Source organism: Homo sapiens, chromosome 3 (genome assembly GCF_000001405.40).
Source record: "Homo sapiens chromosome 3, GRCh38.p14 Primary Assembly".
Lineage (NCBI taxonomy): Eukaryota > Metazoa > Chordata > Mammalia > Primates > Hominidae > Homo > Homo sapiens.
In genome coordinates this window covers 46,005,387-46,026,842 of record NC_000003.12, presented here as the reverse complement: position 1 = coordinate 46,026,842, position 21,456 = coordinate 46,005,387, and the positions used below count along the sequence as shown (strand labels likewise).

General features: G+C 44.7%; 1 protein-coding gene and 1 pseudogene across 3 annotated transcripts in view; one reads left to right on the top strand and one right to left on the bottom strand.

The window, feature by feature from the left end:
- Positions 1–9,836, top strand: part of XCR1 (X-C motif chemokine receptor 1) — a 68,838-nt gene extending 59,002 nt beyond the window's left edge. For 2 of the 3 annotated variants that reach the window (NM_001381860.1, NM_001024644.2), the window contains one exon: positions 4,865–9,836. In NM_001381860.1, coding sequence (NP_001368789.1) covers positions 4,896–5,897 — 1,002 coding nt within the window. In that variant the 5' untranslated portion in view covers positions 4,865–4,895 and the 3' untranslated portion in view covers positions 5,898–9,836. Of the gene's footprint in view, positions 1–4,565; positions 4,688–4,864 lie in introns of all 3 variants that reach the window. The other variant, NM_005283.3, reaches the window with a different exon arrangement.
- On the bottom strand, positions 1,932–3,731 carry NRBF2P2 (nuclear receptor binding factor 2 pseudogene 2; annotated as a pseudogene).
- Positions 9,837–21,456: the final 11,620 nt, after the last annotated feature.

Here is a 21,456-nt window from a genome sequence, read left to right as displayed (position 1 = left end):
TGGGAGGCCAAGGCAGGTGGATCATGAGGTCAGGAGATTGAGACCATCCTGGCTAACATGGTGAAACCCCGTCTCTACTAAAAATACAAAAAAATAGCCAGGTGTGGTGACGGGCACCTGTAGTCCTAGCTACTTGGGAGGCTGATTCAGGAGAATGGCATGAATCTGGGAGACGGAGCTTGCAGTGAGCCAAGATCACACCACTGCACTCCAGACTAGGGGACAGAACGAGACTCCATCTCAAAAAAAAAAAAAAGAAGAAGAAGAAAAATGGATCTGGGAACCATACTTTGAGTAGACCTAACATATAAATAATATTTTTCTTATGCTGAAAGAAGTAGAGAGGTTTATTTGGCTACATATCTTTATGTAAGGCCTTGTTATTACTGGTGGTTGTATAATTTAGAGCTGTCTTTCTCAATCTAAATTATATTACAGTCCAGAAAGCTAAATTCACTCCCTTAGAGTTGAGGTGGGCCACAGAGATGGGGAGGGAGAGAGACAACCAGCAAAAGGGAGCCAGTTCACTGAATGTAACTTGGAGGGGTTTGAGATTTGACATCATTTTCCTTTTTATCTCCAAAGGCTTCCAGGCCCAGAACATGACTGCCTCTGAAATTTTTGAGTAAATGAATTAATAACCAGCAAAAAAAATGAATGATTTTTATAGATGTCCAATATCCCTTTTATTTCTAATTTGCTGAGAGTTTATATCATCAAAGGGTGTTGAGCTTTGTCAAATGCTTTTCTACATTTATCAGAAAAGATCATATAGTTTTTTTCTTTATTCTATTGATATGGTGACTTAAATTGATTTTCATGTATTAAAACAATCTCATATTTCTGGGATAAACTCAACTTGGTCATGTTATATTATTCTTTTAAAATGTATTGCTGGATTTGATCTGCCAATATTTCGTTAAGAATTTTTCTGTCTATGTTCACGAGGAATATTGTTCTGTAGTTTTCTCTTATTGTAATTTGTTGGTCTAATTTTGGTATCAGGGTTATTCTGGCCTCATAAAAGGAGTTAGAAAATATTCCATCCTTTATTTCTATTTCTTATAGTTTGTGTAAAACTGGTGTTATTTCTTCCCCAAATGTTTAAAAAAATCACTAGAAAAATCCTCTAGTTCTAAAGTTTTCTTTGTGGTAAGGATTTATATAGTTAATTATATTTCTATAACAAATGTAGGGCTATTCACATTTGCCATATCATCCCATGTCAGTTTTGATATGCTGCATGTTAAAAGAAATTCATCCATTTCATTTAAGTTGTTGGATTTTTTAACATAAAATTGATCATAATATTTATTTGTTATTCTTGTAAAGTCTATAAGATCTGTAACATATTTCTCTTTGTTCTCAATCAATCTAGATAAGGCTTCATCAATTTTTTGGTCTTTCTCTCTCTCTCTCTCTCTTTCTTTATTTCTTTTGAGACAGGGTCTTGCTCTGACACCCAGACTGGAATGCAGTGGCGCCATTATAGCTCACTGCAGCCTGAAACTCCTGGCCTCAAGGGATTCTCCTGCCTCAGCCTTTCAAAGCATTGGAATTATAGGCATGAGCCACTGCTCCTTGCTGATTTTATCAATGTATTAAAATGTTGTCAAACAACCAATTTTGATCTTGTTCATTTTATTTTCTATTTTATTTTTTCTGCTTTTATTTTTATTAATGCCTTCCTTCTACTTTAATTAGCTCTTCTATTTCTAGCTTATGTCACTGATTTAAGTCTTAGATTTTAGACGTTTATTCTTTCTAATACACGCATTTAAAGCTATAAATTTCTCTCCAAGTACTGCTTTAGTTGCATTTCATGAATTCTGATATGTGGTATTTTCATTATTATCAATGCAAAATATTTTATACTTTGCCTTTTGATTTCTTCTTTGACTCAGAGTCTAGAAGTCAGTTGGGTTTTTTTAATAAAACACAATTACTTTATTGATTTCTTACAATCAAATACTGCCAACTAGCATTACTTCCACTCATGCATCATTAAAAACAAAGGATATTTCCTCCTTGGTATTTTCAAATGATGCATTATACAATAAACAAAATTAGAACTTAAAATGCACCCTGATTAATCATGTAAACTGGTAATTTGTTTAAAAAAGCATAACTAACAATTAAGGTGTATATCTTACAACTAACAAATAAGGTGTGTATCTTACACACCTTATTTAAACAAAATGGGCATTAACAAAATGCATACAGTCAATACATGATAGAAAGCATGTTTCAAATACAAGGCAGCCCCTCGGGCCACCATATTATTTAGGTTTTGCATTATCATTTATGGCATTATAGATTAATTACACATAACATATTTTATACATTTTAACCCTGAAGATAAGAAAAATAACTGTTGCTTGAAAAAAATTATTCCAAGTAGCCATTTGGTTTGTATCAGCAGAAACTGAACCTCCATGAGTTTAGTGTTTATCAAGTTGGAATCATTAGCTCAAGTCAGTGAATGAGATATGCAACGCATTTCACAGTGACTGTTTCCCAAGTCCTGGCAATGCCTATTCTCCCACAGTCCACCAGATGATGAAACATTTCCGGGACCAGGATGCCCCTTCTACGTGGTTTTCCCTTTTCATTTTTTTTTTTTTTTTTGCTGGATTAACTATTACTGTATTATTTCCTCTTCTCCCCTCTTCTGTGGCCTTCCATTTTAATTATTCATAAATCCTTTCAGAATATTCTCAGGGAGATCCATAAGGGGAAGTTCTGGAGATGTAAAATCCAAGGGAGGAAGACTGGGGATTGGAATGTCCTTGGCTTTCCCGGCATTTGCTGCAAACTTCTGCCAGGTTGAGGAGGCTGTAGCAGTTTCTGAATGTGGCGGCAAGCTCCGTAATTCTGACGTTTCTACAAAATCAGCATCTACATCCAGCTCCTTTTCTACTGGACCTTTTTAGAAGTCTGGCCTTTTCAGCCTTTAGTTATTTTCTTTCCTTAATCTTTCATTCTCAGCCACAAGGAATTCCACACGTCTCTTCAAATCTGCAATTTTGGTTGCCTATTCCTCTATAATTGTTTTATCATCTTCTGGGGCTTTGCTTCCAATACATGGCTCTGCTGTCTCACTCTTTTGCTGAAGTAAATATAGTAGTGTGTCTGGATCCCTGTCAAAGATCCCCTGAATCTCAAGCAGGCGTTTCTCTGAAGAAGGGCTGTACTTCTGAGAAAGGGGGCTCTGGCCCTCCGCATCCTCGGCAGAGAGTTTGTGAGATGCCTGAAGATGGGCAGCTACATCCTTGTCTGTGTTCTGCTAGGCTTTCAATCTTTCCTCACGCTGGGCCCTTTTCCATCTCTCTTGGATGAGGAGGAGCTGTTTCATGTGGCTATCCCTTTGCAATTCCAGTGAAAGACGAGCCTGCTCAGATTGTGTCAGCTTCATGGCTTCAGAAAGATATGCCGCAGCCTTTTTGTGACAAGAAATCGCCTCTTCGTATTTGCCTGCAGCTAATAAACGGTCGGCTCGTCTGCTCTGCTGATGAGCCAGGTTGAGGGGTCCTTCCATTACTTCCATAGACAGCAGCAGCCTTAGGAAGGGGAGCGGTGGGGCCAGGGAACATGGAGGGGATCGCAGGGGAGCGCGACGCAGCCGCGTCCTCTCTGGGCGCAGAGGGAGCAACAATCTCTCCACTTCCTCCTCAGGCCCCGCGCCACGGGCCCGCCCCCTGCGCCGCCGCCGCGACCCCGCACGGCGCCATGACGTCACACGCGCTGGTGTTTTTAAAATTATTTCCAAATTATTGAAGCTTTTCTTGATATCTTGTTATTGATTTGTAATTCCTTTTGGGTCTTTTATATAACTTTTCTTTCTCTGCTGAGACTTTCTATCTCTCCATTCATTATGAATATAGTTTCCTTTATTTCCTTGGGAACAGGTATAATAGTTAGTTACATTTTGATACATATTTACAAATTCCAACATGTGGCCCCTCTCACAGGCAGCTGCTTGATTGTCTTTTCTTTTGAGTATGGGTCATGTTTTCCTATTTCTTTATATGCTGAGTAATTTTGGATTGTGTCCTAAACATTGTTATGTTGTGTAGACTCTGGATTTTGTTTCATTTTTCTGAAAAGTGTTGATTGGTTATTTGGTGTTTGTCTTAACAAGCATTTAAGTTTTATAAATAAAAAATATAATTCTAAGCCTCACAACTAACTGAACGGACTCCTCAGCCAAGGAAGGGCATTCTAAAGAAATATTAGTTCAGGCCATGATGGGAATAGGTAGTCAGACATGCCTCATTATACTCTCCTCCTTTTGTAATTCAGCACAGCTGACCAGTATTAACATTAAAGCAGCCCTTAAGCCTGATAGAATAGACTCTTTGTAGCAATAAGATACCAACATGACAGATAGGAATATTTTGAAATGGTCTTGGAAAGCTATCTCTTGTGGGGAAAATACACTCTGTAGAGAATCCCCTTCCCATTCCAGGTCTTTTCTCTGATCCAGGAGAGAATTAACTAAGAGTCTGGCATCTTTTTTGGGTTTTTTGTTTGTTTTTGAAACATGGTTTTTCTCTGTCACCTAGGTTGGAGTGCAGTGGCATGATCACAGCTCTCTGCAGTCTCGCCCTCCTGGGCTCAAGCAATCTTTCCCCACCCCCCGGTTTCCTGAGTAGCTGGGACTATAGGCATGCGCCACCACACCCGGGTAATTTTTAAATTTTTTGTAGAGACAGGGGTGTCACTATATTGCCTGGGATGGTCTCAAACTCCTGGGGTCAAGCAATCCTCTCCCTTTGGCCTTTCCAAAGTGCTAGGATTACAGGTGTTAGCCACTGTACCCAGCCACCACATGGCTTTAAACTCCATGTCTCTATCATTTCAGATGCTCTAAACGTCCCTGCCATCTGGTCCAGATGGAGTCCTCAGGCAACCCAGAGAGCACCACCTTTTTTTACTATGACCTTCAGAGCCAGCCGTGTGAGAACCAGGCCTGGGTCTTTGCTACCCTCGCCACCACTGTCCTATACTGCCTGGTGTTTCTCCTCAGCCTAGTGGGCAACAGCCTGGTCCTGTGGGTCCTGGTGAAGTATGAGAGCCTGGAGTCCCTCACCAACATCTTCATCCTCAACCTGTGCCTCTCAGACCTGGTGTTCGCCTGCTTGTTGCCTGTGTGGATCTCCCCATACCACTGGGGCTGGGTGCTGGGAGACTTCCTCTGCAAACTCCTCAATATGATCTTCTCCATCAGCCTCTACAGCAGCATCTTCTTCCTGACCATCATGACCATCCACCGCTACCTGTCGGTAGTGAGCCCCCTCTCCACCCTGCGCGTCCCCACCCTCCGCTGCCGGGTGCTGGTGACCATGGCTGTGTGGGTAGCCAGCATCCTGTCCTCCATCCTCGACACCATCTTCCACAAGGTGCTTTCTTCGGGCTGTGATTATTCCGAACTCACGTGGTACCTCACCTCCGTCTACCAGCACAACCTCTTCTTCCTGCTGTCCCTGGGGATTATCCTGTTCTGCTACGTGGAGATCCTCAGGACCCTGTTCCGCTCACGCTCCAAGCGGCGCCACCGCACGGTCAAGCTCATCTTCGCCATCGTGGTGGCCTACTTCCTCAGCTGGGGTCCCTACAACTTCACCCTGTTTCTGCAGACGCTGTTTCGGACCCAGATCATCCGGAGCTGCGAGGCCAAACAGCAGCTAGAATACGCCCTGCTCATCTGCCGCAACCTCGCCTTCTCCCACTGCTGCTTTAACCCGGTGCTCTATGTCTTCGTGGGGGTCAAGTTCCGCACACACCTGAAACATGTTCTCCGGCAGTTCTGGTTCTGCCGGCTGCAGGCACCCAGCCCAGCCTCGATCCCCCACTCCCCTGGTGCCTTCGCCTATGAGGGCGCCTCCTTCTACTGAGGGGCCTGTGGCGGTGCAGGCGCAGGTGCAGGTGGACAGGGACTGGAATGGGGGTCATGGAGAAGCGGGCCTGGAAGGAGCATTGCAGAACACAGCAGGGTGGAGACGTCTCCTCCGCTGCAGGCGTGCAGTGAAGGTCATTCATTACACCAGTGGGTCCCGCCAGCCTCTCATCTGCGGGAAAGTGGCTTCCTACCTGGGAATTTTATACTGCCATCCAAAAAAACATTTCTTGAACTCTGAGTTCATCTTGCACGCTCCTTCATTTAGACATGTGTTTCTAATCACTGTTTAGTTCAGAAGGTTCTAAGACATGAAAGGATTCTGGGAAAGGTGCTTCCTTGGAGACTTTACAGGGCCTAAAGCTCATTGTGATAACTGCACGATGCTGACAAGACAATGCCTCCCTTCCCTGACTGTAAGGTTGTCCCTACTGGTTTATTCACTTTGGAGGCGCCTGGCTCCGTATTCCTCAGGTACTGCTGGATGAGGCTGTCTGGAAGACAAAAGTCGCCATACCCTGAGATAAGCAGTCATGTTGATATCTGGATTCTAAAAATCCACAACTAGACTGGAGAAATGTTCTGTATCCTGGATTCAAGTCCTAGCCCACGAACTGGCCCTTAAAAATTTAGCTCATAAATATTTGATTGAAGGAATGAATTTAATAAGTGCTACCTTCTGCACTAAGTATTTATTCAGAGAATACAAAGATGAATGAGATACAGTTGCTACCCTCCAGGGGCCAACAGCCCAGCTCCAAAGGCTCACCTACCTTGGTGAACACCCACCTTGGTGAAGGCATCTAGGGTGGACTCCTCCGACATCTCATCCTTCCCAGGTGGATAGTGAGCTGACTTCACATTTATCACTTTGTACCTAAAGTGTCCTCCTCCTATTTGGTTGATGGTGGTAGCTCCCCCCACCCACCCACACTCCAAACCTCAAGTCCTCTTGGAGGCCTGTGTTTTCTTTTCCTCAACTCCCACAGCCAGGTCCAAATGACTATGCCTGTCTAGTGGCTTTCAGAGTTGACTCATTCTTGCCATTGCATGCCCATGGTTTCATCCCTGAAACAGGGCCTCACTTCCTTGGCATCTCCCCACTGCTCCTCTCTTTCCCCACCAGGCTGTTCTCTGCCCTTACACCAGGTGCTTCAAAACCCTTAGTGGCTCCTCATTACTTACAAATGAAGTCCATACACTTTAGCAAGGCTTTCAAGGCCTCCACAATCCGATGCCAGCCAACTTTTCCATTCTTATTCCACTCTAAGCCTCCTCCCCACAGCAGCTTGGGATCCAACCCCAAAACACCACTGGCCTTCTTTCAGACACATATCTCCCCAGTACCCTACCTCTAGGCATTTGTCATGCTGTCACCTGGGCCTGGAACATGTTCTAGCTGACAGGCCAGCTTCTCCAGGAAGCCCTCCCTAATCTGCAAATTAGAACATTCTCTGGGTTGTCGTGGGATTCTGCTTGTCCCCTCTAAAATAAAACAACCTTGTGTTGTAGTTACACACATGCAATGTCTTATCTCCCTGCCCCATCAGGCTGCAAGCTTCTTGAGGGCAGGAACCTGGTCTTGAACCCCAGTGTTCTATCACTGTGTGCTCAGTGGGAGCAAAGAATCAACAGCTGTTATTATCCTTCAGATTTATGCTTCTTGGGGAGCCATGCCCTGGGGCACACTTTACCTTCTTTGTCCCAGGCTGCTTCTCTATAAATATTAACCTTTCTTTCCTAGTCTACACTCTCAGAGAGTAGTAGAAAGAGAGTAGGGTGTAGTAGTAGAGAGATTGCTTATCTCTCTCTGTGGCGATGGCTATGCTTCACCTTGCCTTCTAGTTCATGGTACGCATCCCTGCCTCTCACACTGGCCCATTGCTTCACACCCAAGGGCATAAATAAAAGCCACTCTCTAAACTTTGCCATGCCACAAAGACCTGGGCCCAATCTGTGAACCTGATTTGGCTCTGGCGTGGGGATTTGGAAAAGCTTCCCATGCGATTCTGACATGCACCTTCATTAGGTACATTTGGCTGCAACTTTTTTAAAAAATGAGGAGTCCAGAGTCTTCTACAGTCCCTTGAGCAGGGATTTGCACACAGAAGACACTCAATATCTTGTTATTGAATAAAGTAGATACCAATGTAGCCCTCTGGCCAACCTAGAGAGAGCTTGTAAGGCATTTCCCCTTCAGTTCCAGATGCAACTTCAATGATCTATTTGCCAATGGGGCAGTAGATCTGGAGGAGTTTATCGGTCTAGGGAAGAGCCAGGGCCTAGTTTTAATAATGAGGCCAGTAGCACCTGCTGGACAGGGCTGGGCGGCATACCAGTGAAGGGAAGGGGCTCCCATGGACCTACCTGCCAGCCTACAGGTGGGGCCACTACTCACCACCGATGGGAGAAACAGCATAAGGAAGAGATAATGAGGTAGTTTGTGGTATCAGAGCTAAGCCTATGGGCTTCTAGTTGGCCTAATCTTTCAAACACAGTTTCACACTGATTCTTAACATTTTGTTCAACTTTTACTCAGAGGGCAGGCTGAGCCAGGGAGCAAAAAGGCAAAGGACTCCTACTCACATACCCACTTAGCAAAACCAAAGCACCTTGGGCTTTGAACCCACCCTTCTTAGAAGGCAGGTTTGGGGGTTGAGGCCCCTTGAGAAGCTCACTTCACCCTCTCCCCATGCCATCCCATTCCTACCCATCCCAAGATGCTTCTCTTGTATTTCTTTCAGCACATCCAGCCATCTCCCTGGGAGCGTTTCATATCTGACTCTTTATACTTCCAGTGATGTTTTGGCATCCCTAATAGACTGGCTCCCAAGGCAGTCTTTAATCAGGAGTCTTCCCCTAATCTAGCTCCTCAAGAACCCAAGGGAAGAGGCACAAAGAGAAGTATGAATAGGAAGATAGAAGGGTAACCCAGTCAGAGAGGGAGTGGCAGATGACACTGCTGAAAAGGAGTTTCCAGAGAGTTGCACACCATGAGCCACGCTGTCTGTCCCTGACCACAACCTCCACTGGCCACCACCTCCTGGGCTTCCCCTCCCTCCACCCACAGAAACCATTGCTCAATCTCAACTGGACTCTTGCAGGCCTATCTCTCCCTCCAAACAGAGATGTCCTGGACACAGAGCTGCAGACCTCTAACCACTCCTGGAACATAAAAAAACCCACGGTGGTTCTACAGCATTTACACCTCCAGTTTCCCTCAGACAGAATCCAGAAGAGAAGAACCTCGCTGATCTCTGAGCGGAGCATGTCTCCAAGCTCAGGCCAGCCCCAGAACTCCAATGGCCTCAACTGGAGTGGAAATCCCTCAAAGGCACAAACCCAGTTCCTACCATCTCCCTCAGTGCCTGGCAATGTTTGTGGTTGGTTGAGTGAGTTAACAGGAGACCATCTTTTGGCCTTTTTTCTACCTCTGTTTTCTCTTACTATACTTGCCTACATCTCATCTTCTGGTCAACACCAGGTACTCACCCCATGAGCTTCTTGTGAACTTGTCTGGGGCCCACCGGCCTAAACATCATCTTTTTTGTTTGGAATTAAGCTTTGTTGAACTTTTCACAGGTTTCATTTATGCAAATGCCTGTGATGGGACAAAAAGGTCTGCAAACATGGAAACCTGGTCTAAAGATGTCCAAAGTAAACTGTCTGTGGAGTCGAATGACATTTGAGCCCTGGACCTAAACTCCAAATCCAAGCTCTTTCCCACTGTGACCTTGGGCCTCTCAAGGCTCAGTTTCCTCACCTATAAACTGTAGAGAAGCCAATAACAGACTCATCCACACTATGAGGCTGTGCATAAGGTCATGTATGTAAAACTACTTGCTTTGTTGATCATTCTGTCCCAGATAAGTATGAATTATTATGCATCATTTCATTAAACAAGAAAGCTTCACTGTGTTAATATGCACAAGTAAAAGATTAGCATGTATTGTCTTACCTTTGGCTGGCTGTCTTAGTCAGTTCGGGCTGCTATGACAAATACCATAAACTGAGTGGCAAACACTCAGCCCATAGCATTGATTATGTCCCCTCATTTCTACCAAGAGCATATAGGTTCTTAAAAGTCTTCTACTTATGGAAGATCTGGGTTAGGGATTCAGGATTGGAGAACAAAGTGTGGAAAAAGGCCTGTGTGAGTCAGGGTGGTGGGAAACTGGCTCAATTTAGACCTTAGGTGAAATTGTCCAGGAGACCAAGTCTATCTTGAATGCTCTGTGACTCAATTTCCTATCCCCATTTCTCCCCTGGCTTGACACCCAAGTCTTCTGTCTCCAAGTCCAAGGCTTTTATTTTCTGTATTATAAAATATTTGGGTCTGAACAGGGACCGTTCAGAAATACAGTCCTACAATCAGAAGGTATGATACTATTATTGGCTGGAAATTTCAGGCATGCTGAAAACTTGGTGGGAGATACTTGGGGGTTTCAGGGAAGATTGGGAAGGGTAAGAGGGATTATCCTAACTCTTCACCAACTTATTCTGAGCACAGAGCTTTGCTCTCTACCTTAAGGCCAGCCCAGATCATAGATGTGGGGTTGCTGCAACCGTCCCCCGACATGTCCACTGGCCCCTCCACAAAAGGAAGTGAGACCAGAGGGACCAAAGAAAAACAAAGGAAGCCTGGTTCCTTGACTTTGACCATGTCAGAAAATCAGCGTTGAGCATCATTCATGGTTAGAAAGAAGAACTGGACAGTTGGATGGTTGCAGGAGTGAGAAGGGAGAGAAGGGTGTGAGACAATGGCATGCAAACCTCCAGGCAACCCCTGGCTACTTTTTTGGAGTATTTTCCCAATGCAAGAGCAGAGCAAAGCCCATGTTGTGGAGAGTGAGACCACAAAGATGAATTGGCCCCACTCTCAAGTTGGCCACCCTCTAGTCATACCCATTTGAAGAAAAGTTCCCATAGGATTACTCCAGGCCCAAGAAATTCCTGTTCCTTTTCCCAGACCACCTTGCTGACCTCTCTTGACTGAAAGAAAATGACCTGGCTTATTGTCCACACAACTGGGGATGCTCACTTTAAATGTATTATTAAAGCTCTTCCAAGGCACTTTGCAATGAACTGTGGGAATGTGGGGTAGGAGGTACCCACCTTTACCTGCTCCCACCCTCAACTTTGGTTGCAATTGGTTCAACGATATGCCAATATACAGTTTCCCAATAGTAAGGTTAAATTGGGGGGCGGGGGTGGGGGAGGAAGAACCACTGGGCCCTGCTAATTTATCAAAGAATCTTCTGTTTACTTCAAAATTAGAGAAAAAAATACAAATCAGGCCCACTTTTCTGGCTGGGTCTTTAGCAAGTCACTTCCCCTCCTTTGAAGCTTATTTCTTCATCTTAACTAGAGAGGTTTGCACTCAGATCTATTCTTATGCTTAAAAACAAAGTCTATAGGTCTAAAATTTCATGGCTTACATTTTGATGAAGTTCTTCAGGGGATACAAATCTGTAGCTTAGGGCAGGTTACAGGTTGAATTGTGTCATCCTCTGCCCCCAGATTCATATGTTCAACTCCTAACCCACAGTCTCCCTGAATAACCCACAGTCTCCCTGAATATGACCTTATTTGGAAATAGGATTATTGCAGATCATATAAAATGAGATTATGCTGAGGTAAGGTGAGTTTATAATTCAATATGGCTGGTGTCCTTGCAAAAAGGGTAAATTTGGGCACAGACACAGGAGAATGTCATGTGAAGACTAGAGTTATGCTGCCACAAGCCAAAAAACACCAAAGACTGCCAGCAAGCGACCAGAAGCAAGGAGAAAGGCATGGAGCAGATTCTCCCTTACAGCCCCAGAAGGAATGAACCTGACACCTAGATCTCAGACTTCCAGTCTCCAGAACTGTGAGACAGTATATTTCTCTCGTTCGAGCCACCCAGTCATGGAACTTGGTTAATGGCAGCCGGAGCAAATTAATACAGGACACAAATTTCAGTGTGTGGGAGCGGAATCCCAGTGCACCTCCAAACCTTCCATGATGTTCCAGTGTCTCCTGCACCTACACAGAAGGCTACACCTAACTGAAGACATGCAGAGGAGATTGGAAGCTAGTGTTTACTGAGACCTACTATGTATTAGGTCCATACATTTTCACGTCTCACAGCTACCTTACGAGGTTTCTGTTTTCTCCAGTTTGACTAAGGAGGATACAAGGGACCAGAATAGGTCACACTCCAACATCCAAGGCTACATGTCAGATCACACGCGGAGCTTAAAAAATACTAATGTTGGCCGGGCGCAGTGGCTCATGCCTGTAATCCCAGCACTTTGGGAGGCCGAGGCAGGTAGATCATGAAGTCAAGAGATCGAGACCATCCTGGTCAACATGGTGAAACCCCGTCTCTACTAAAAATACAAAAATTAATTGGGCGTGGTGGTGCACGCCTGTAGTCCCAGCTACTCGGGAGGCTGAGGCGGAGGTTGCAATGAGCTGAGATTGCGCCACTGCACTACAGCCTGGCAACAGAGCAAGACTCTGTCTCAAAAAACAAAAACAAGCAAACAAAAAAAACACTAATGTCTGAGTTTCTACCCCAAAGGTTCTGATGCAATTGTTCTAGGGTGCAACCTGGCCTCAGGATGTTTTTAAAGTCTCCTGGTGGTTCTAATGTACAGCCATGTTTGACAATCACTGATCTAGTGTCTTTATTTATTCAATCATTCACTCAATGAATATTTATTGAGCAACTACTGGGTGCTAGAAACTGTGCTATATCCCTTGCACACATTATGCCACATTCTCACAATTTTACAAGGTAGGCATTGTCACTACCCAGATGAGAAAAGGGGGGCTTGGAGAGATAAATGACTTTCTTAAGTTAAAGCCAAACTCAGGTCTGTATTGTACCCAAACACCTACTCTTTCCATCACATCTTGCCAATTTCCCAAATGATATGCCCATCAGGACTCTTAACCATAAGCAACAGAAATTGCCTCTAGTTGCCACGGCAGAAGAAAATGTGTGGAAAAGATACTGCATGTGATTTCATTGTAATTGCATCAGAGATGCGGCAGGGTACAGTGTCATGATGTCTGCAACTACATCACAAATGATTCGGCAAAAAATTAAAAAAAGAAAAATGTGTGTAATTATACATTAAAATTGGAGAGAAATGACATATAGAAGAGGTTATACTCAAAGAAAGAGAAAAGCTGCTGGGTAGCTCACAAAACTGGTGGGAAGGCAGGAGAAACAGCTAGAACAAAGGGAGGTGGTCTCTGGCACAACAACCGCAGGAGCCAGAGGTTACAGTGACTCTAGAAAGACTTCTCCCACCTGCATTACAAAAAACAGGTACACGAGGCTCACAGAGTGAGCCAAGGCCACACACCCACACTCTGGCCTCAAGGGAGCTGGGAAAGAGCGCCCAGGCTTCCTTATCTCCTACAGAAGTGGGCTCTGCCTCCCACCAAGACTCGTGGTGAGGAATCCCCCCAAGCAGGGAGAGTTCAGCCACAGGATCAGCTAATGGCCACCACAAGTGTGAAAAAGGTTACTGAGGTTTTCTACTGCTCTGCCAGTAGAGAAAGCCAGTGGCTTACAGTCTAAGCCACTAAGATAGGAGGTCAGAGGTGTGACACCACTGGGCACACCAAAAACATTTTAGGATAAGCCTTTGACAAGTGATACGATCAAACCCCACCCCAAATTGCTCCCATCAGCAGTACTGCTCCCTGCCCACATCAACAGAACTACTCAAGAGACAGTGAAGCACTTGGAAAATGGCGGGCTCAATTTTCTACAATAGTACTATTGAGAATTTCCTTCCTACCAGCCATTTACTTAAAGGTTATTTCTTGGTAGCAAAGCTGAGTTTTTCCAAAGAGGTTTTTCAATTTCTTCTCATGTCTTAGATGGAGTTGATTTCCTTTATTCTGAGTGTCAAGAGCCAGTTTGAAAATAAAAGAACTTGGGCCGGGTGCGGTGGCTCACACCTGTAATCCCAGCACTTTGGGAAGCTGAGGCAGGTGGATCACGGGTCAAGAGTTCAAGACCAGCCAGGCCAACATGGTGAAACCCCATCTCTACTAAAAATACAAAAATGAGCTGGGCGTGGTGGCGGGCACCTGTAATCCCAGTTACTCGGGAGGCTGAGGCAGGAGAATCACTTGAACCTGGGAAGCAGAGGTTGCAGTGAACTAAGTCACACCACTGCACTCCAGCCCGGGTGACAGAGCAAGACTCCATCCCCCTCCCCCCACCAAAAAAAAGGAAAGAAAAAAGAAATTAAGAGCAATTTATTTTTCCACTCAGAAAAAAAAAGACTTTGTTACACTGTCTTGGCCAAGGAAATACTTAAGTTTGTGTTGAGAATTTGGAGGCTTCAGTAGTGGAAAGGTCACTGAATTTGGAGTCTGAAAACCAAAATCGTCCCAGCTCTGCCACTAGCTGGCTGGGGGGCACTTTCTGAAATAGCGATGATGAAAATGATGATGATAGTGGTGGTGGTGGGGGTGGTGGTGATAGTGACAATAATGATGACAGTGGTGGTGATGGCGATAATGATGACGGTGCTGCTGCTGATGATGATATGACAATGTAGCCAGCAATTATTCAGCAGAAACTTTATATCAGGCACCATGGTAGAGGGCTTGGATTGCCTTAGCTCATTTAATGCTCCCAAAACTATTTGGAATTGCTGTTACTGCCCCTTCTTCTAGATGAGGATGGTAAAGCATGGAGGGATTAAACAAATTATCCAAAGTCACATAGTCAGGACTCAAACCTAAGCTTTCAACTAGCACTGTGCCTCCTTTCATAACCCTATTGACATTTCTAGACCTTAGTTTGTTCATCTGCAATACAAGGAATTAGATCAGAGGGTTTTTACCAGGAGTACATGACAGTATCACCTGGAAAGGTACTTAAAACTACAGATGCCCTGACCCTGTCTAGACCTACTAAATCAGAATGCTGCAGAGGGTAAGGCTCCAGGACATGTATTTTTTGTTAAGCCTGGATGGGCCCAGGCAACTATATATTTAAGTACCTTCATCAGAAGTGATTCTGATGACCCCAATGAGAGCCAGTGAACCAACATACTGACACTGGTCCCTTCTGTCTCCTCTGGTTTTCATCTGCATGTGCCAGCGTGTTTCCTGGAACACTAATCCTTAACATGGTTCATGACCAGGGGTTCCTGGGGTGATTCAGTTGTAGAAATACCATCATCTCCCTTTTCTCCATTGTGGAGACTCCCAGCGCTGCCTGAGGCTACTTCATGAGGAGGGGTGACCAGAGAGTGGTGATGCCAAGCCCCACCTGCTACTCCGCTTGACTCAGCCTCTCACAGAGATGCTGTCAATGTGAGCTGAGGACCATGGCTGCTGAGCTTTTCCACCCAGTCTTCTCAGGAAGTCACCTCTCCACTGTCCCTCTGCCAGGACACTGCAATGAGTTTTCTCCAGTTTCCTCCTGCAACTCCAGCTTATGCTGTCTCCCTCAGGCCATTGCCTCCTTCCATCAGTGTGGCTTGGAGGGACTGGGACAAGGATGAAGGAAGAGGGACTCATCCTTCTCGTTGCCACTCTATCCCAAGCCCGACCTCTTTTTTTGAGAGAAAATCTCACTCTGTCACCCAGGCTGAAGTGCAGTGGTGCAATCTCAGCTCACTGCAACCTCCGCCTCCCAGGTTCAAGTGATTCTCGTGACTCAGCCTCCCAAGTAGCTAGGATTACAGGCGCCCGCCACCACATCCAGCTAATTTTTGTATTTTTAATAGAGATGGGGTTTCACCATGTTGGCCAGGCTGATCTCAAACTCCTGACCTCAAGTGATCCACCCACCTTGGCCTCCCAAAGTGAGTTATAATTTCTAATCTTGTGGCTAATTTGTGAGTTTTACAAAGGCAGTCTGATCCCCAGGCAAGGAGGGGGTTTGTTCTGGGGAGGAGCTCTTAATATCTTTGTTTCAAAGTTAAACTGTAAACTAAATTCTTTCCAAAGTTAGCTTGACCCATGCCCAGGAATGAACAAGGGCAGCTTGAAGATTAGAAGCAAGATGGAGTCAGTTAGGTTAGATCTCTTTCACTGTCTAATTTTCTCACTGTAATAATTTTTGCAAAGATGATTTCAAATTATTTTCATTTCCTTCATGATAAAGTAGTCAAAAGCATAGAAACAGAAAGTAGTAAGGTGGTTACCAAGGACTTGGGGGTGGAGGAGCTAGTGTCTAATGAGTATTGAGTTTCAGTGTTGTGAGATGAAAAAGTTCTAGAGATCTGTTGCACAATAATGTGAATATACTCAACATTACTGAACTGTACACTTAAAATGATTACGATAATAAATTTATTTTGTTAGATAATAAATTCAATGTTACATGTTTTTACTATAATAAAAACAATTTTTTTTTTTTTTTGAGACGGAATCTCACTCTGTCACCCAGGCTGGAGTGCAGTGGTGCGATCTCGGCTCACTGCAAGTCCGCCTCCCGGGTTCACGCCATTCTCCTGCCTCAGCCTCCCGAGTAGCTGGGACTACAGGCGCCCGCCACCATTCCCAGCTAATTTGTTTTGCATTTTTAGTATAGACGGGGTTTCACCATGTTAGCCAGGATGGTCTCAATCTCCTGACCTCATGATCTGCCCGCCTTGGCCTCCCAAAGTGCTGGGATTATAGGTGTGAGCCACCGCACCCAGCCAATAAAAACAATTTTTTAAAGGGATCTGAGATCAAACTGAAAGTCATTGCTTTAAACCAATCGTATGTTGATGACACCCACATTTATATCTGCCACAGCTCAAACCTCTCCCCTGCATGTGGGCTCATGCATCTTGGTCAGAGGTGTCCTAACCAGAGTGATTCCATCTTTAATAAAGCTGGGATAAAGCCAAACCTGCTGAGTTACATTCCCAGGGAGCTGGGCACTCTTGGTCACAAGATGTTTATGGTTGAGGGAATGAGTTAATAGTGTTAACTAACTAAATAAAGACCCAGAACTTATGGAAACGTCCCAGTACTTTAAGAAGAAAAAGGATTTTTAGTTTAAGAACAGGTTTTGCTTTAAAGATAATAGTAACAGGAAAGTAACAATACTAATAGACTGTTACAAGCTGATCACAGGCCTTTGTGATAGAGTACACTATTCTTAATAACTTAGATAAGCCAGCACTACGTTTAAGGTAGTGCATTCCTCCTCTTGCTTTCTGAGGACGCCCTACTTTGTAATTGAGTAGCCTCTAATAAACTTAACTTCAATATATTCTGTGACTCGCCCTGAATTCTTTCCTGTGCAAGATCCAAGAGCCCACTCTTGGGGTCTGGGACAAGACCCCTTTTCTGGTGATAGCTTCTGCCTGCCGGACACCTCCACTTGGATGTCTAATCAGCATCTGAAATCTATGTCTAAAACCCAGCTCTTGACCTGCCCCCTACATACAACCCTACATCTGCTTCTACAGTCTTCACCATTTCTGCTTTTGCTAATTCAATTCTTCCATTGGCCAAAAAGCTAGGAATCATCTTTGGTTCCTTTCTTTCTCTCAGTGTTTATGACCAGTTCATGACTGAATCTTCTCAGCTCTACCTTTTAATCCAACCACTTCTCACCCCTATCTCTTCTGTGACCAACCGCACTGACTCACCTGCACTCTCATAAGTGGCTCCCTGCTTCTTCCCTTGCCCCTACAGTCTATTCTCCTCCGGCCACACTGGCCTCCTTGTGGCTCCTCAAACACACGAGGCCCAGGTCTTGACTCAGAGCCTTTGTGCTGGTTGTTCTTTTTGCCTAAAATTATTTCTCCAGTTATCCCCAAGGCTCACTCCATATCCATCTCACCATGTGGCCTTCCTCATGGCATGACTGTCTCAGGGTAGTCAGATTTCTTTTTTTTTTTAGACGGAGTCTCACTCTGTCACCCAGGCTGGAGTGCAGTGGCATGATCTCAGCTCACTGCAAGCTCCGCCTCCCGGGTTCACGCCATTCGCCATTCTCCTCCCTCAGACTCCTGCGTAGCTGGGACTACAGGCGCTTGCCATCACACCCGGCTAATTTTTTTTTTTTTTTTGTATTTTTAGTAGAGACAGGGTTTCACCGTGTTAGCCAGGATGGTCTCGATCTCTTGACCTTGTGATCCGCCCCCCTCAGCCTCCCAAAGTGCCGGGATTACATGTGTGAGCCACCACGCCCGGCGGGTAGTCAGACTTCTTACGTGAAAGTTCAAAACTCCAACTACATCATTTTTCGTGACTCAGCCTTGGAAAACACAGTGTTGCTTCTGCATTCTGTATTGGTGGAAGCAGTCGCCAGCGACTCAGGATCAAGTTGAGGGGAATTAGACTCCGCCTCTTGATGGGAGAGTGGCAAGGTCACATTGTGGAAAAACACAAGGGATGGGAAATCGTGTTGTGACCGTCTTTGGAAAATACAATCTGACACAGTTCACTTTTCCCAGTCCACTTTTAGCAGATTTCTATTTCAGATACCATTTCTGCCTAACAAATTATCCTGAAACTTAGCAGCTTAAAGCTATCATTTTATTTGTTTATTGCTCACGGATTTTGTGGGTCAGGAATACAGGAAGGGCTCAGCAGGGCAGTTCCCACCTAGGATCACTTACACGGTTGCAGTCAGATGTCGGCTGAAGCTGCCATCATTTCATGGCTTGACTGGGTAGGACGTCCAAGATGGTGCAATCACACGGCTGGCAGGTGACACTGGTGTCAGCTAGAAGCTCCACTGGGCTATAGATGTGGACTCTCCAGCAGGGAGTTCTCAGTGAATCAGATTTCTTACATAGCATCTGGCTCCCACAGAGAACAATCCCAAGGCAACCAGATGGAGACTGCACTGTCTATTCCCACCTAGCCTCAGAAGTTCCATAGCATCACTTGCTGCGTTCTTTAGGTTACAAGCAATTCACAAAGGTCAGCCAAGATTCAAGGGGAGAAGACATAGAATCCTCCCACCCACCACCACTACCTCTGGGTGAGAGTAATGTCAAAGACATGCTTATGAACATGTTTTAAAATTGCCATACTCATCTCCTTCAAGTTTGCTAAAATGTCACCTTCTCTTTTTTGTTTTTTTAGTTTTTGAACATTAAAAAAAAATAGAGACAGGGTCTTGCTATGTTTCCTAGGCTGGTCTTGAACTCCTGAACTCAAATGATCCTCCCACCTAGGCCTACCAAAGTGCTAGGATTACAGGTGTGAGCCACCATGCCCAGCCAAAATGTCACATTCTAAGAGAGACTTTTTCTTCCCACCCAACCCCCGATCCCAGCCTTGCAATTCCTTTTCCATGGTTTCTTTTTCCCCCATAGTATCTGTCACCTTCTAACTTAACATTTAAATTCTCTTTATCATGCTTATTGTCTCCCTCCTCTAGAATATAAGTTCCATGAGAACAGAGATTTTTGTCCATTCAGTCCACTGCTGAAGCCCAGGCATCTAAGCCAGGAGTCAGCAAATGGCCATATCTGACCTGCTGCTGTTTTTTTTAAATAAAGTTATGTTGAAACACAGCCATGTCCATTCACCTATGTATTGTCTATGGCTGCTTTTGCACCATAATGACAGACTTAAGCAGTTGCAACTGAGACCATATGAGCCACAAAGTTTAAAATATTTACTTCTGGCTCTTTACATATAAATTTTGTCAACCCCTGATCCAGAATAATACCTGGAGTGCTCCATAAATATTTATTGATGAATAAATAGCTGTGATTTAACCAAATACAACTTTTCTATTACCAAACAGTTTCTATTACCAAACTCTGTTTTTGTTTTTAAGTATAAAACAGAGAATGGGCACAAAGAGGCCCATTTCAGTGTTTTTTCCCAAAATAAAGAAACATTTTGCCCAAAGGTGAATTGAAGTCCCCATCCCTTACAAGATAAACTGCTCACAAGTATGAAATGGCAAATCTCCAGCTGCAATTGCTTCCTGGACTCCTGGAAGCAACTGCAACCAGGGGCTCATTTTTAAACATTTGGAGGTTCCCCAGAGTCCTGTGGTATGGACTTTGTTTTTTGTCTTCATCCAATCCTGTTTTCAAAACTTATTTGACCACAGGGTCTAATATTGTTGATGAAACACTCTTTACTATCTCAGGGAACTACTTGACTCATGGAGAGAGTGACTGTGATATTATGCAATAGATATTTGGTCTTCATCCCCATTTCCTGGCATACAACTCCTAAAATTCTTGGAATCTTCCAAGTGCTATGTTTTTTGTATGCTAATGTTGACTTGTTAGTAATGCCGAATCTGCATGGGTCTGCAGCAACTCGATTCTGACCTCCTCAAAGGAAAGAATTCAACTGAGGGGCATAAGGCAGAGGGAGAAACAGAGGCAAGTTTTAGAGCAGGAGTGAAAGGAAGTAAAATACACTTGGAAGAGGGCCAAGTGGGTGACCTGAGAGATCCAAGTGCCCCATCTGGCCCTTGACTTGGGGTTTTATACGTTGGCATGCTTCTGGGGTTTTGCATCTCTCTTCTTTGATTTTTTCCTTCAGGACAGCTTGTCCTCAGTACACTGGCCTGCCAGCACTTGGGAGGGGCTGCATGCGCAGTGTGTTTAGGAAGTTGTACATATGCTCACTTGAGGCGTTTTTCCCTTACCAACTGAGTGTTCTTAGGTGAAGGTCATCTACCAGTTAAACTCCACCATTTTGCTGCTTAGTGTGCATGCTTCAGCCCATTTTCCCCAATTCCTGAGATCTTACTGGGAAGCCACTGATCACCAGCTTCAAGTGTTTTCTGTCTATTGGGAGACTGTCTAGTTGCCAGCTGCAACTAATTACTATTTTAGAGAGACAGTTTGACAACTGCCTGACCATCATCGGAGAGTTGCCTGACCATCATCGGAGAGTTGCCTGACATTCCTGGTGGGGAGGAGGGCCCCCTTGTGCCCTGCTCATGTCTGCCTAACTACCTACTCTAACATTTCCCCCCTAAAGAGTCCAAGACCCAATTCTTTGGGAAAATGGACGAAGAACAGTCTTCTGTAACTGCTTCCTGCTGACAGAGGGGCAGTGGTGGTTGTTCTGTGGTTCTTGGCCTCTTGTTAGCTGTCAGGGCAGGTGGCTCCATGGGTTGGAGTTGAGTTTCACTCAGCTCCTGTAGCATTTGGGAAGCTGAGTGAAGTCCATCTGCCAGTCCTCCCCAGGGTATGTGCCTCTCCTTTGGATTGCACTTATTAATGGAGGGGGCTTCTCTCTCAGAGGATTATTTATGGTGCACAAGGTGCAGGCTTGACAAATCTGTTGAATAGTTTTATTTAGTGCCTTCCTGCTAAACGCCCATTTACAAATTTGCCCTAGTCTGTCCTTTCCAAGGCGGCAGGAGTTGTGGAAACTCTTGATGACTTTCTTTGGGAGGCTTTAGGTAGATAGAGAAGCCCTCCCAACCTGTACCAACCACTGATTTCTTCCTTATACCCACGTTGGGTGGCCCAATCTATTTCTTCCTTAGTGTACTGGAAAGGGGGCAGTTCACTGGTGGGAGAGGGGAGCGAGGCCTCCATGAAGGTATTTTTTGAGACGGCTGCCTCTTTAGCTTTTTGGTCAGCTAACCGTTTTCC